Below are 17,254 nucleotides of genomic sequence, written 5' to 3' on the forward strand. Positions count from 1 at the left end.
CTATCTAGTTATTAGCTATTATCAATTTAGTAAACATTGCTGATAAGTATTTCAAGCTTCAGCTTCTTTTTCACGTATTTAAAATTGCTTTCTGAATCACTGACTTATAAGGAAACAAATATACAATAATTATGCAGCTTATAATTACCTTAAAATGTACCCTTTTGATTTGTTTTCTTTTTAATTTTAATTTTTGTGGGTACACAGTAGGGTGTGTATATATATATCCATATATGTATGTATGGGTTACATGAGATATTTTAATACAGGCATCAGATGCATAATAATCACATTAGGGTAAATGGGGTATTCGTCACCTCAAGCTTTTATCCAATGTGTTACAAACAAATTCATTTTACTCTTTTAGTTATTTTTAAATGTACAATTAAATTGTTTGTTACTGTACTTTTAATTTGTTTAGACACAAGCAGAAACTCAAGAAAACCTATAGCACTTAAGAGAGCATGATATTGTTTCAATAAATAAGATGGAGGTGATAGTTAAAGATCTGCAATCTGAACTCTCCAAAATGAAAACTGTAGAAGACTTTAATAAAACAGAATCAGAAAAATATAAACACCTCTATTTAGAGGAATTAAAATTTAGGGATTTGTTGTCAAATGAACTAAACAAGTCAGTCAAAATATAATTATAGAAAGTAAATTAAGCTCATTAATTTGCCTCAAAAGTTTAATTTTTAGTGAGACAGGTTCACAACATCAGTGGGAAGTGGAAGTTAACTAGATAATATAATTATGGAAACATGATGTTAGTAAATGAACTGACCTTCAAAGTGTTTGTCCAGGAGAGTTTATGTCTCTTCCGCATTTGTTGGTTTTATATGGCTTTTTTCCCCTTCAGATTCACACTAGTCAACCTGATCTGTTAGCCTTTCAGCTAAGTATTTTTGAAGCATTTAATTTGACAGTAGTATTGTCATTAAATGGCTTTTCAGCATGTCCCCAAATAGAAATACTAATAAGTTTAACTATTGTTTAGAGGATTAAAATTGAGACCAAAATGGTCATGTACAATTACTACTACATTTCACTTTCTGACACTTGGTAAATTAACTTTCTTTGATAGTGGTCTTGGGTATTATCATTAGACAGCACCCTGAGAAAACACCCTGTATAGTTTTTTTCATTCTTTATAAAAGCATCCTTGTGAAATGGGGAATTAATAATACAGAGATTAAGGGATGTACAATTCACAAAATGGTTAAAAATAACACCTTGGTTAGCCTGAAGGTTTGTGTGGAAGACAGAAGGCACAGGCCCCACCTCCGATGCCTTGGTCACAATGTTAGTAGCTAATTGTCTTTGAAGCTGCTTTAGTTCTTTTTGATCTCTCACTCAGCTATCTTTGTCTCCCCTAGGAGTTGTTTGTCTGAATTACTTCTCAGTGTCAAATGCTTAATGGATCCCAAATAATGAGTGAAAATGTACAAGAAATGTTAAATGCCTGAAAATATCTTTGAGGGATAATATTTAAAAATCTTTAAACTGGTTTAATAAACACATATTTATAGCTTTTTTAATTTTAGTTTTTTAATTGCACATATTCAAGAAATACAACATGATGTTTTGATATATTTCTACATAGTGAAATAGTCATGGCGGCAAAAAAAAAACTTTTTGTTAGAAATCCTCCTAAAAATATTTGTACTTTTTAAGAACAATTTAAAACCTATAATTGCATACACTAGGCATGCTCTCACACATCTTCATTGTTAAAGCACGGCTTAATGGGAAATGTTATTTATTCTTATAGAAGGGTTTTCTTTTTAAATACAAGTCCTTTTCTAATTATGTAGGAAAAAATAAAATACTAAGCATTTTCCTTTTGCAATCTTCACAGAACTCATGAGAGACAAGCAGTAAGAAACTTCTTTTGGAGAAACAACAGACCAGATCTTTACTCACAACTCATGCTAGGAGGCCAGTCCTAGCATCACCTTATGTTGAAAATCTTACCAATAGTCTGTGTCAACAGAATACTTATTTTAGAAGAAAAATTCATGATTTCTTCCTGAAGCCTACAGACATAAAATAACAGTGTGAAGAATTACTTGTTCACGGTTAGTTATATTATCTGTCTTCCTTTGTTTTTCAGATTTCTGATGCAATTCTTGTTTTTAAGTAGGTGAAATACTGAGTTAATTGACTCACGTGTGTTAAATAATGGTCAACATTACCTGCGTTAACAAAGAAAGAAAACAGAAATTTTACAATTTTCTAAAAGTCCCTGGAGCTCTCATTTTCATGAAATACCCATTTGTTAACTTCATTCAATAAACTTAAAATAACACATTTTGAATTGCTTTAAAAACTGCATTTAAGTTACATTTTAGAAAGGGAATATTATTTCCTAGTAACTAAATATATACTTTGAGATGTTTTGGCTTATTTTCTGATTGGTTTGAGTTTGGCTGTGCTTCATAACACTTCTAATGTTTTCCTGTACCATCTCAAGTTTTGCACCCCTAATCAGAAGTGAATGTTTGACATCCAAACACTTAATCACATGTAGATGTTCATTATTTAAAGTAATCTAAAATAAATACATTTATGAAGTAAATAAACATGGAACACTTAAATGATTCATTTTTGTTTTGTTTTAAAGCTAAAAGTCTTGTTTTTTTTTTAACACAAGACTGGATCTTTAATTGCCACTATACCTACATCACTTTTTCCCTCAGTTTTTGTAAAGTGTCTATTATTGCTGTGCAATTTTACAATAGCTTGAAAATAGCTAAATCAACTCTTTGAATTTTTAAAATGATGTTCACTTATGTATGTCTATCACTTGAATTATTGATGACTAATACGGCGATGATATTGAGTCTTTTAATAGCAACTACAACCACACATAAGCCATTATCTTCTTTCTACCCAGAATTGCATAAAGCTGCACAGGATTCCCATCTACCCTGATGATGCAGCAGACATCATTCAATCCAACCAGGTGATTTTACTCATAGTAAGAATCAATTTCTGGAGATCCCAAAATGATGCCAGCAATGACAAGATGTATAAATTGAAGCATTGGTTTTATATATATATATATATATATATATATATATATATATATAAATAGAGAGAGAGAGAGAGAGAGATTCCATTTTTTGTCTGGGGTAAAAATTTTAAAACTATATGCAGTCATCCTAGCTACTTAGGAGGCTGAGTAGGCAAAAGAGTCACTTGAGCCCAAGATTTCAAGGCTGTAGTGTATCATAATCACAGCTATGAATAGCCAATGCCCTCCAGCCTGGGCAACATAGCCCCTGTTAAAAAAAAAAAAAAAACAAAATAAATTATTTAAAAACCCAGAATTTTTTGGACTAAAATAAATAGGTAGCAAATAGTTTTCACTGTGTATCACTGTCACTAAAATACCCATTTCAATCAATGCACATTGGCTTATAGTTTTGATGGTGATTTCATAATCTCTTTAATGCAGAGAAAAATAGTGTATGCTTATGTTAAATGAAATGTTTTTTCTTTACCTGGCTTCATATTCTAAAAAATTCTAGAGGAGCAAATCTAAGCTTTCTCAGACAGCATTGCTGCCAAATGGGAACAATTAAATGATTGTTTTAATACATAAATTTGATGATCCCAGCTAGCTGAGTTTTTAATTATTTTGATAGCTTAGTTTTATTTTTCTGGAAAAAGAGTGATATGGTCAGGGTCTAAGTGCTTCAGGGTCATAAAACTGCACTTCTGTGTACAAAAAGAGGAAGAATGTTAAATACTACTGTGAAGTGTTAGTCATGATGCACATATGAATTTTCTTATCTGTTTTTTTCCAGAATAATCAGCTCATGTATTATTTTACAAGATAATGAAAACATGTATAAATACAAATGCAGTGCAGGCAAAGATTTTTGAGAAAATATTTTCTCTTAGTTTTTAGCGGGCAAAGTGCTATTTATTTTTAGTATTTCCGGATATGTTGAAAGACAGTTCATTTTAAACTTCATTAGTACTTCCAAGGAGTGCAGGGTTTCTTTGTGCACAATTGGTTTGCCAAATCATGTTCGACTTAATAATTCTATGAAGATTCAGTGACATGTTTTCATACCTTCTTTATGTAATTGTTTACAAAATTCTTAGAGATACAGAAAGAAGATGCCTACTAGAGTTGCTAAAATTTAATTATTTCTACTAGAAAAACATCTAATACTACTTTGAGAGGTGGCACAGATTATCTAAAATAATACAAAAGGTGGGTTTTTGGAGGGAGCATTACAAACAAGAAGACATTTAGACATTTTTGGCTATAATTCTAGAAAGCAAAATGTTAAAATATCTAATCTAACATAAAATATGTTAAAATAGCATTGATACTGAATTTATCTTCTTTATTTGCAAGGTTGTAATATTTGGGAATATTGTTAATTTGAAGGACTATCTTATACAGCTTTTTTAACTATAAAGAAACTGATTATAATACATCATTTTTGTTGCATGTGATTGAAGTTGTGCTGGATGTCAAAGCCAGTGTTCTCTATGTTGATGTCATTTGCCAGTTCTTGCACCTGTCACCAACACATGAAGTTTAGCCTTACCACTTAACACTATTATAGCTATCATAGATAACTACGTATACTTTTTCCAAACTTTTACTTTGTTTTTTTATTTGAATTCTGAGATGCTTTGTTCTATATATGAGAAGGAATTTTATAATTTGATTGGTTCTTTAAAAAATTATATTATAAAATTCAAAAATTAAAATTAGCTTCAAAAATACATCAGTCATTGGATCCTTTTGCATACAGAATGTTTTTGTAATAAATGAAATCATAAAGATTTATTCCACATTAATGAAAGATAAGACTTAGCTGGTTTAAAGTTTTTTTTTAGGTTTGAAAGTTATATAGTACCTGTGTGTCTAAGACAATTCATGGCACCCAGTAGTCACTTGGTACATGTTTTTTAAATGTTTGAGATGGATGTCTAAATGTCTTCTTGTTTGTAATGCTCCCTCCAAAAATTGTATTATTTTAGATAATCTGTGCCACCTCTCATAGTATTATTAGATGTTTGAGATAGGAAGACTCATTTCTACATTGATTGGTTTTGGACTTCTGGTGCATTACTGACTCAAAAATTTTCTAATAATTTATTTAAGTAACTTTTCTATTTCTCAAATGTTCATTCAGTTTAGCAACTTCTTTTCTAAATGTAGTTATATAGATATGTCCAAGCTAAAACCGTATTCCTAAGACTGTAACTTTTTACATGGTGGAACATTGTGTCACATGGTGGAAAGTTGTGCCACATGGTGGAACTTTGTGTCACATGGTGGAACATTGTGTCATATCAGAATGTTGAACTGCGCTTTTTCCACAGTGTTGAGTTGCAGTTTTTCCCAAACAAAATAGTCCTGTTTGCATCACCAAGGAAGCGCCTGTCTACCCTGAATTTTAACTCTAATCAAACTATAATAATAGTTATGGCAATCATTCATAAGGCAAATACAGAGTTTGAGAAACTTACTACAACAGTTTTAGGCTCTATATAATTTCTCCTGTCTCCACTTTTTTATCTACTTAGCCAAATGCAAATTCCTCATTTTATCCTAAGAATTGTTTCAGATAGTTTCTCAAATTCTTCTAATTCTTCTTTTATTCATTTTTCCCCCACAAGGTCTTTAAATATATGTGTGGATCTATGCTTAATCTATCAGCTCTTTGGTCAATTAAGTGTTGCCCAGTTTCTTTCTCTGTGACACAGTGCACGTATTTAATACTCACAAACCACCAAGTATAATTGCCTTCAGACATTAAACTATTGATATTTTTATCTTGAATTGCAGTGGTTTGAATGTGCAAACTTATTTGATTATGCTACATGGGAGTGCATGATTACTGTCATAAAACTTGAGTACTCCTTAAAATAGAGAATGGTATTACATTTTACTTTAAAAACATGGTTACTTGAAAATATATTAATTATGGAAAAGTATGTGTGTGATGTATATGTATTTATCAAATTGGTCTCAAAAAGACAAAAGACAATACAGCAATATTTTAAACTTATAATATCAAGTATAATGTAACAGTAGCCTGTCACTAAGTTATTGTTGTGTTGTTGAAATAGTGAATATTGTATTTGTTGGGCTTTACTATTGTGATTGATTTCACTATATTTCATTCTCTTTTTTTTTTTTTTTTTTTTTTGAGGCAGAATCTCGCTCTGTCACTCAGGCTGGAGTGCAGTGGCGCAATCTCGGCTCACTGCAAACTCTGCCTCCCAGGTTCACGCCATTCTCCTGCCACAGCCTCCCGAGTAGCTGGGACTACAGGCGCCCGCCACCAAGCACAGCTAAGTTTTTTATTTATAGTAGAGACGGGGTTTCACTGTGTTAGCCAGGATGGTCTCGATCTCCTGACCTCGTGATCTGCCTGCCTCGGCCTCCCAAAGTGCCGGGATTACAGGCGTGAGCCACCGCGCCGGGCCTGATTTCAGTTTCTTCCAGCCCTTCCTATTGTTAACATGGGGGTTGTGTTGAAGAATATAAAGTTACAAAGTCAAGGAAGTAGGAAACATTTTTACAAGTATTATGTAGCCATCTTGGTGGGGCTGTGGTGAGGTAGGCTGCAAATGATTCTCCTATTTCTTTCCCTGAGTTCAGAACATAGGAATTAGATTGATAGACATCAACATACCCGCTTTATTGCTGACTCATGACAACTAATGGGAAGACATGGCTCAGATGTGCAGCCACAGTGAGCTTCTGAACATTTCTTCTCAGACTAAGCTCTTACACACAGTTGCAGTTGAAAGAAAGAATTGCTTGACATGGCCACAGGAGCAGGCAGCTTCCTGCAGACATGACAGTCAACGCAAACTCATGTCACTGTGGGCAGACACATGTTTGCAAAGAGACTCAGAGCCAAACAAGCACACTCAATGTGCTTTGCCCAAATTTACCCATTAGGTAAATCTTCCCTCCTCCCAAGAAGAAAGTGGAGAGAGCATGAGTCCTCACATGGAAACTTGAAGTCAGGGAAATGAAGGCTCACCAATTATTTGTGCATGGGTTTAAGTTTTCCTTGAAATTAAGTTCAGGTTTGTCTTTGTGTGTACCAATTAATGACAAGAGGTTAGATAGAAGTATGCTAGATGGCAAAGAGAAATATGTTTTGTGTCTTCAATTTTGCTAAAAATAACCCAGAACATGGATAATTCATTTATTAATTGATTTTGGTAAGCCAAGTCCTATTTGGAGAAAATTAATAGTTTTTCTAAAAAAGAATTTTCTCAATATCACCTGGCTTGATAACATTTTTCTCCTTCGAGTTCCTTTTTCTGGAGTTTAACAAACTTGTTCTTTACAAATAGATTATATTGACTACCACTCACTGATGTTATGATATTAGTTTCTATTGCTTACTTTGTATTTCTAATTTTAGGATTCACAATTTAGCTGGAGAACTATTTTTTAACCTGTTGCACCTAAACATGATTGAGCTAGAAGACAGTTTTACCATATGCATGCATTTTCTCTGAGTTATATTTTAAAATCTATACATTTCTCCTAAATATGGAGGAAATCACTGGCATCAAATGCCAGTCTCAGACGGAAGACCTAAAGCCCATTTCTGGCCTGGAGCTACTTGGCTTTGTGACCTATGGTGAGGCATAAGTGCTCTGAGTTTGTGTTGCCTCTTTTGTAAAATGAGGGTTTGACTTAATCAGTGATTTTCATAGCTTAAAATTTTTTTGAAGAACAGAACTTTTTTTAAAAACAGTTAGATGCAACCATATTATATAAAACAGAACAGATACAAGTAGAGCTAACTTGCTAAAGAAAGGATGGAGGCTCTGAAGCTGTGACTTCATTATCCCTTAATACTGCTATGTCCTCTGTAGTACCTTAGATTTCTATGGGACATCGTTTAAAAACTATTGTTTATGCGAGAGCCTTGCTAATTTCCTAAAAATTGTGGATACATTTTTTCTCCCATGTATAATTTTCTCACCTTCTATTTAAAAAGAAAAAAAAAGTCAGTGTAGTATTTACATATTTTACCCTATAAGGAGCTAACATAACTTTTGATTTAGTGTTATTCATAAAATTAGGTTAGCAGTTTATTAACCTTTTGTATTTGCTCTGGCAATGTTTAATATCTCATAAGCTATACACACCTCGAAGCCATCAATGACAACCTTTTCTTGCTGAATAGAACAGTGATTGATGTCATGAAGACAATTTTATCTCCTTTTGCCTTCCATAATTTGTACCAGGTACTGTATGTGGTCTCTTGAATGGAAATAATAATTCTGAATTTTGATTAAAAGAAATATGAGAAAATGTGTGGATTTAATAGGAAAGAAAGAACAAAATTGAAAGGGACTTATAAAAAGTCATGTAACATTGAAAAGTTTATACTTGAAAATATGCATAAAATTACCCAACTCTTTCTACAGCCAATAATAATAATAACAGTAAAGGTGGAGCCATCAATATCCAAGACCCTTTCCCTAAGCTTCTGGATGCCCTCATACAGAAGCTTCTTCCCCATGTTTTGGATTTGTCCCTTTTCTCTCTGAGCATTCACATCTGACCTGGTATCACTTTCTCAAAGGAAGTTACCCTCAGCAGTTCTTTGTGGGGTAAAGTGTTCAAAGGTCAGTCAAAGGCTGGAAGATAATTTATGCAGGGAGAGGCCACTTCAGCACTGCAAGAGAGGCAGCTCCTTCTACCATTTATTTATTTTTTTAAATTTTGTTATTATTATACTTTATGTTTTAGGGTACATGTGCACAATGTGCAGGTTTGTTACATATGTATACATGTGCCATGTTGGTGTGCTGCACCCATTAACTCAGCATTTAGCATTAGGTATATCTCTCCTACCATTTATTTTTTGAGAGTTAGGAGGGTAAAAAATGGCGTCACTTAAACTTGTTAAAAGAAAGTATTCTCTACAGAGTTCATATTTCTTCAGTACAAAATTAGACTATCTGTTGAGAAACGTGTTTGATATTTACCTAATCAAATTTTTGTGTTATCTAAAAATATTCATAAACAGGCTATAAAGAAGTAATGTAATCTATTACATGTAGGAATTAAATATTTAGAACAAGAGCTTTTGGGGAAAAGATAATAGCATTACCTTAGTAGTTTTTTAGTTGAAGTCACGTGAAAATGTATATTTTCATAGTGTTTATTAAAGGTAATATAATATTCTTCCAGTAAAGCCTCCTTCCTTTATCTGATATTGAGTTATTTCCTTTACAAGACCTCTCTAGTAATGTGTATTGTCACATTATTAAATTTACCAGGCATGTCTGTAACATTATAGTCACAGATGTGTTATGAAGTACAGTCTCTCAAATATGGGAAAACATGTTTGTCCGAAAATGGTGAAGGCTTTAAGTATCATATTATCATTGGTAATAAAATGTCCAGTATGTGCAGTACACAATTTCAGACCTTGTTGGCATACGGGGAGAGAATACCTCTTATACAAAAGATGTAAAGAGGAACACTCCAGATGGAAACACTTGCAATGGAGCTTGAAATAATCCCACACATTTCATAATTAAGTAGAAAACTATAATTAAATAATTCTTAAAACTGATACTAATTTCTGAAAAGACATCAAAGTTACAACTATGCAGCTACGTGATACTTTCCTTCTTTCTAATTCTAGAAAGTTATGAATCAAGCTAACATTGAAAACTGGTTCTACCTATATTTATCCTTTTTTCAATCAAATTTTCTGAAATCTATGTGTTTATATAAAGAAATATCAATCATAATGTAGATCACATGATATTTTTACTTATTCTCTTGCCAGTCCAATTTTCTCATGATATTATGTGAGTACCACTTTCTTCGTGTGTGTATTTAAGGTTCTGTGCTGAAAAGTTGATAACATAGAACATACATTGAAATGTAAATTTTCTGAAGGAGGAGAATGGAAAGTTAATTTAAGGAAAAACCTATTGAAGTGAAAAAACTGAACTTTAATAAAGGACAGAGTTTTGCTAAGAATTAGAAAGAAATGCATTCATTGCAAAATACGAATTAAATTCTCTAACCTTTGTAGTAGTAAGAGAAAAACTCATAGACCAATATTATTTGTAATTTTTTCTCAGGTTTAACAGCACTACACGTGTATAGTCTCTATTATCTAAATCTAAAATAAGTAAGAATTTTAGGTTATTTATGTGATTGTGTTTTTCTATTTAAGCAATTCTCATGTTAGGTATAGTCTCTGAAAGTACTAAAGGGCACAATTCTGTAAGTGAGACATCATTTTCAGGATAGTTTCTCTTCTTAAAATTAAACATTATAGATAATATTTGACTTATTTAAAATGCAGCAGGAGTGGCAGAAAATACCACTAGAACAGGAGAAAGGTACATTGCAAAATTTATTAATTCAATTCAGATTTATTAATTGGTTTCTAAAATAAACGGTAAATAGGAAATGGCTATTTACAGTTTCATTAATTGATAAGTACATCAGTTGGCTATTGTTTGTTTAATAGATAGTATGCTAATTATTTTTGTACACATATTTAATGAAAGATATAAACACATACTCATAATTAAGAGTATATTTATGCCTCATTAATTTGTCATGTTCCATATATTTAGAAAAGTCTCAAGTAGTCGGCATATCTGTTTTTGGCTCTAACTCTCTGCCATCCCTGTGGAACTTTTAGCCTACACACTGCAGTTGTTTTGAGAAAACAAAGGCATCATTCTCTTCTCAAGGTTATGGTAGTGATTTAAGGCCAACAGACCCAAGACTCATCTTGTAATGCATAGCCAAACAGTCATAGTTCATAAGCAGTCACGTGACTGGTGACATTTTAAATCTCCAGTCTTTGACTTTGTCATTGGTTGACTTTTGTCTTCAGGAAATATTCTACATTTCTTGGAATACAATAAAAATGCCCAAGTCAATTTGGTTGTTGTCAAATTATTCAGCTTTTTCTTACCACTTACTAGTACTCCACCTCTTTGCTCTAGCATCCAGCCAACTAGACTACATAGAATTTCACAGTGATCTTCCTCAGCTCCAGCTCTTGGCATTTGCTCCTCCCTTCTATCTGACATATGTTTTTGTTGTCCTTCTGGTATCAACCTGCATATCTCATCCACCAAAAAGTCTACAATATTGACCCAAAACCTGGATGTCCTATCTGTGTGTTCCAGTAGTGCCCTATTTTAAATGTGTCATGATATCTATTACTTTGTGTGAAAATTACCTGTTTGTTTTTTCAGGTTATATAATAGTATAACACTGCCAAGGAGCGGATTATCTCATCTTCATCCTGTAATTCCAGTGTTTGTCACGTGGTTGTTGAATAAATGAATAAAGAATGAGAAAACCAGAAGCTCTGATACATAATCATAATGATAATTATTTCAATGCACAACTACGGGTGAGTTTTATTTAACAGCAATTTTGTATCATAGTTATATATACATTTTTTTATTCTCACTAACACAGAGTAGGTTCTCAACTCTTTTTTCCTGACTTCCACTTAGTTTACATAAAATCTTTTAGGTAAAGAACATAAATATTTTTCTTTCCAGGTGGTGCTGAACTAGAATCTATATTTTCTGAAACTGGCTCCTCTAGGATCTACTAATGATTTAAATCTAAAAGATGAAGTTAGTAAAGCATCAGAAAAAAAAGGTACTAACTTTTATTTTTAAAATTATATAATATAAAAAATTGTAATATTTTATTACTGGAATGCTTACTTGAGCTTTTAATGATTTTTTAATTTAACATAAAACATATAAAATTTTTTCTTAAAAAGGATAATATTTTTATATCATATATGTCTGATGAAAATTTATATGGCATTTTAAACCATGTTTCTAAGCCTCTTTAACAAACTTTTTAGTGGATCTTACAAATAAAATCCTGTATTATTGAGTTTTACATACTCAAATGATTCAATAGGCAGCTATTTAAACAAGCAAAACTACCAAGTTGTTATTAGTGCTTTGTATCCTGTAATTTTTATTACAATTACAGTGATAGATTTAGATTTCAACTGACATCATTTTGGTATATTAGTACTGTGGTCATTGTCAGTGGTTGCATGTAATGCAATTGACACCATACCATCAAATTTATGTAATTTTAAGTGCTGATTTATATGGATCTTTCCTCATGAAAAAATAAGGTTTTCCTAAGACTTTTCACCTTTTATGTTACTTACTTATTTATTTTTTGGTTAGCTTTTGGAAACAGTCTTAAAATTAAAGAAAAGTTTCAAGCTTTACTACAAAGAACTTTCTTTCTCTGAACCATTTGAGAGTAAATTGCTGACGCTCTACCGTGATTTCTGATTTCCTTAGTGGGTATTCCTACAAGTCAGGACATTCTACGTGACTACAATATAATCTCACAGAAATTTAACATTAATACATTCTAAGATTTAATTCTTAGATTCTTGGTAAGTTTTATTACTTGTCTATAATATTCCTTGTTGCAAAAGATTCCATTCAGAGACATCAGTTATATTTAGCTTCTGTATCTCTTAGACTTTCAATTGTAGCAGTTTCTCAGTCTTGATATTCATGACGTTGAATCTTTAGAAGATAAAGTTTAGTAATGCAGAATGTTCTTCAATTGAGTTTTTGTAATGTTTCCTTGTAATTAGTTTTATATCATACTTTTTGAACATGGCTATCACCAAAATGCTCCTGTGATCTTATTGCATCCTATCATTGGACCACAGTTTTGATTTGGTCTGTTACTGGTGATGCTAGATTTTATTTCTAATGGTGGTATCTGCTGAACATCTCCTCTGTCATGTTATTTTTTCACTTTTTAATGAATTACTATTTTGTAGGGAGTTCATTTGAGACTATGTAAATATCTCTTTCTCTTCAAACCTTCAAGTTATTCATTTACTTGTATCAGTATGGATTCATGGTTCATTCTGTTTAATAGGTTATGACTTGTTAATATTTTTCAAAGCTTTTTCTTTGGAGAAATGTTCAGCTTTTTCATATAAAAAAGTCATGACTTTACATCATTGGAGCACTTATGGCGTCAATAGTGGCACTTCACATGTTTCGAGGTTCATGGTATTACAAAAAAATGATGGAAAACAGGCAAGAACCATGAGAAATCACCTTTTACTGTATGACACATTTTTCTAGGTAAACAAATTGCTCCTGTGGAGATGATTGGCATCACATGGTGTTTTGAGCTGATACACCCAACACTTGAGCTCACTGCAACAGTACCAGGTGGGCATAAACTTACTATAGCAGTACAATACATACTAAAGTTAACTTTTTGCAGTTACAATTTAATGCTGCATTTTTATGCTTGTTTACATTTCTCTTAGCTGAAGCTGGCATCGTGTTCTTTGTATGCACACATTTTGATAAATTTTCACTTTTTATAATTGATTTTGTATATTTCATGGTAGCAATGATAAAATAGACTAGTAATTGTATAAATATTTTTGTTTGCTATTTCTAGGTTATTTGGTTCATCTACAGTTTTTTTCAAATTGCCATTAATTTCCAAATTTTTTTTTTTTTTTTTTGAGACGGAGTCTCGCTCTGTCGCCCAGGCTGGAGTGCAGTGGCACGATCTCGGCTCACTGCAAGCTCCGCCTCCTGGGTTCACGCCATTCTCCTGCCTCAGCCTCCCGAGTAGCTGGGACTACAGGCGCCTGCCACCACGCCCACCTTTTTTTTTTTTTTTTTTTGTATTTTTAGTAGAGACGGGTTTTCACCGTGTTAGCCAGGATGGTCTGGATCTCCTGACCTCGTGATCCGCCCGCCTCGGCCTCCCAAAGTTCTGGGATTACAGGCGTGAGCTACCGTGCCCGGCGTCCAAATTTTTTTATATTTCTTGAAAAATATCTGCTAACAAGAGCACCCATGCAGTTCACACTATGTCATTCGAGGGTCAATTGCATTTGTAACTCCTGTCTCTGACAGTAACCTGTCTCCTTTCATGCTTAGTATGTAGTAAGTCCTTACTTAACGTGGTCAATAGGTCTTGGAACTGAGCTTAAGTGAAAGACGTATAATAAAACCACTTTTACCATAGGCTAACTGACATAAATAAGAGTGACATTCCTATGATGTATTTCTGGTCACAGAAACATCACTGAACTTCTAAGTAAGGACCCAAAACACTTGTAACAAACAGTAAACATTGAAATCAATGTGTGCTTTATATATATTTTTTAAAGGTTAATAAAAATAAGTAGATATTTTTTCTCAATTTCTGGCGAACCACCGAGTGATGGCAGTTGTAGTGGTGGTGGGTTCCATCAAGCAATCAACGTCAGTAGATTGCAGATTGTAAGGAGCACCACTTACCATTATGCAGTTCAGAAACAAACAGTCACAAATATGTCAGCCTCACAGAGTGCTTTTGTATGGCATCATTGTCAACAACAGCATTTGTGTGATTATCATAGTTCTCACAGATTTTTATTTTACAGTACTTTCCATTCGTTCACTTGATCCTTTTCCAACCTGCTTATTGCAGTTCAGGTTTGCAGATGGCAGGAGCTTCTCCTGGCAGTTTTGGGTGCCAGGAGGGAACCCTATTATTATAGAGTTTCTTTGTTAATGCTGGTCAGTGATTTAATCTAAATTAGAAGTGTTTGAAAAGGATTAATTGTCCTACATCAAACTTGTAAGCAACGTCATGTACATCATGACATTGCAGGGTCACTCACACACACATCCACTGTTAGTCAGACTGGCACCACGTAGACACATCAGTTAATCTCATGTACAGAACTTTGGGATGTAGGACAAAAAGAAGAGTCCCTGAAGAAACCCCATACAGACATAACAAGAACATTTAAACTCCTCATAGACAGAGACCTCAGATGAGATTTGTTTTTCATCCATGTTAGAATGAAATGGCATTATTCAAGGACCTGCTATCCTCACTTATTTGTTCAATACCATTCTGTGTGACCAGTCTCTTGTGTCCCTGCCCTTAGGCGAGTACTCACTCCCTCTGGGACTTCAGCATCCTTCATCAGGTTACCTCTGCTGCTTTCCCTCTGTCTTCACCCCATGCTTTCTCAGATATTTTGTGCCAAGCTGCCCTTTTACACAGAATATTTTTCCTGCTCAGGTGCTGAAAACCCATGCTAGGCTGTCCTTCTCCATCTCTGCATGGATGCCTCCTGACTCTATTCAGTTTTTGATATTTTATTCTATTTCACCCACCATTCAGGGGTGCTCTCACTTGATTGTTAACATTGTGCAGGGTGGTGCTCCCACACTTAGGTCTTTCCCATTGTCTCCAGGCCCCAACTCCTCACTCTGGACAACCATAGCTTTCTGTTTTATCTCCATGCTCATGAATAAAAATGCTCAGAAAGAGAAGAGAGGGAAAATGCCATATACATTTTATAATCAATACACAAAGCTCTGCAGAGCAAGGATTTTGATTGGAATTTCATTGAGTTAATAATTTGGGCAGAAAAGAGATAATACTGTATTCTCACACTACTAATATTTCAATTGTCTTATTAACTTAATTAATTTTAAAAAATTTCACATAGAGATCTTGCCTAGTTTAACATCTATACTCAAGTATTTGGTATAGTTGATCCTATCACAAATTTTATTTTTATATATATTTTTTCTTTTTGTTACTTGCTTACAGAAATAAAGTTGATATTTTGTGTATTGAACTTGATTAGTTAAGCTGTCTTGCTAAACTCCTTGTTATTTTCTTATCTGAATATTTGATCTGTACAATATTTAGGATTTTCTATATACACATACCATCTGTAAATAGTAACAGTCTTCTTTGTAGTTCAAGAGGTTTTATTTCTTTTTTTTTCTACTGCAAGAATAATGTTGAATAAATGTGGGTACAATTGGTATCCATATCTTGTTGAAATTGTAATGGGAAAACAATATATTTCAATCTCTATGTAGATAGTGGGTTTTTGTTTTCATAATATATATCTTTTAGTTTACTGTATGAGTTTTGCAGGACTGCATAATAGATCACCACAATCATAACATCTTAGGACCACAGACATTTATGAGATCATGGCTTCTGTGGGTTAGAAGTATGCTCATGTCTTAACTGGGTCCTCTGCTCAGTCTTATCTGGCTGCAATCAAGGTGTCAGCTGGGCTGAATTTTCATTTGGAATCTTGACTGGGAAAGAGTCTGCTTCCAAGGTCATGAAGTTTGCTGGCAAAATGTATGTTTTTATGACAGTATGACTGAAATCCCAAGCTATCTCCTGACTTTTAGCTGGGTAATCTCAGGCCCTAAATGTTGCCTACAGTTCCTAGAGGCTGGTCACAGTTCTTAGCCATGTGGATTTCCTCAACATGGCTGCTTGCTTCATCAAGTCAGCAAGAATAGCCTGTCATATCAGTGTATATCAGGCTCACTCAGGATAATTTCCCTACTGATGAGCCAAACACTAACTGATTTTAGAGCTTAACTACATCTGCAAAATTCTGTTCACCAGAGGCAAGTCATATTCAGGGAAAGAGAAGTGTACAAAGTGAGAACACCAAGGTGCAAAAATCACTGGAGCTACCATTATAATTGTAGTAATAAAATTCTCTTCTAATACTAGGTCTCAAAGTTTCATTGTGAATCAAAGTTCAATTTTACAAAGTAAAAATTACTTATTTTGCATCTATTGAGATGATCATTTAAGAAACCATTTGTTACTTGTGTTGAATTGCATTACATTATTTACTCTTGTTAATCTAACCTTGCATTTGTCCGATAAACTGAACTTGATTGTGATAATACTTTGTTTTTATTCATTGCTACTTTTGGTATGTTGATATTCTGCTTAGGACTCTTTTAATCTGTCTTTTCATGTGATGATAATAAAGAGAATTTTCAATACTTTAACTCCATGTACACTCTGCCATTATCCTTAGCAAACTATTTCTTTGCATTTTAATTCTCTTATAATTCTTAAAAACACTAGACATTTTCATAGTTTATGCATGAGACTGCCAATGTTCAAGCAATTCTCCTACTTCGGCCAGGCTAGTAGCCAGGGGGTTCTTTCTGTTTCCAAGAGCTAGCTTTAGTGCCTGTGGTAGATCTGTTTACCAGGCTCTTTTCAGAAATGAGTGGAAGATATAGAGGCATTAAGGATGGTTCTAGAGAAGGATTTTCCAATCTTAGCATTGTCAACATGTTGGATGGGATGATTCTTTGTGTATGGTGTTCCCTTGTACATTGTAGGATGCTTACCAGATCCTGCCCACTAGAGGCCAATA

General features: G+C 33.4%; 1 protein-coding gene across 3 annotated transcripts in view; it reads left to right on the forward strand.

Annotated features, from left to right (window-relative positions):
* Positions 1-17,254, forward strand: part of ANKRD30A (ankyrin repeat domain 30A) — a 140,297-nt gene that overhangs the window by 104,003 nt on the left and 19,040 nt on the right. Inside the window, exons 43-49 of one of the 3 annotated variants that reach the window (XR_930524.4) lie at positions 1,861-2,080; positions 2,899-2,967; positions 6,195-8,258; positions 11,256-11,416; positions 11,571-11,673; positions 13,158-13,247; positions 15,988-16,877. Coding sequence is in view for 1 of the 3 variants with exons in the window: in NM_052997.3 (NP_443723.3) it covers positions 1,861-1,869 (9 nt within the window). In the remaining 2 variants the exon portion in view is untranslated. Of the gene's footprint in view, positions 1-1,860; positions 2,081-2,898; positions 2,968-6,194; positions 8,259-11,255; positions 11,417-11,570; positions 11,674-13,157; positions 13,248-15,987; positions 16,878-17,254 lie in introns of those variants that run through there. The other 2 variants (XR_007062015.1, NM_052997.3) reach the window with 2 other exon arrangements.

Source organism: Homo sapiens, chromosome 10 (genome assembly GCF_000001405.40).
Source record: "Homo sapiens chromosome 10, GRCh38.p14 Primary Assembly".
In the NCBI taxonomy this organism is placed as follows: domain Eukaryota; kingdom Metazoa; phylum Chordata; class Mammalia; order Primates; family Hominidae; genus Homo; species Homo sapiens.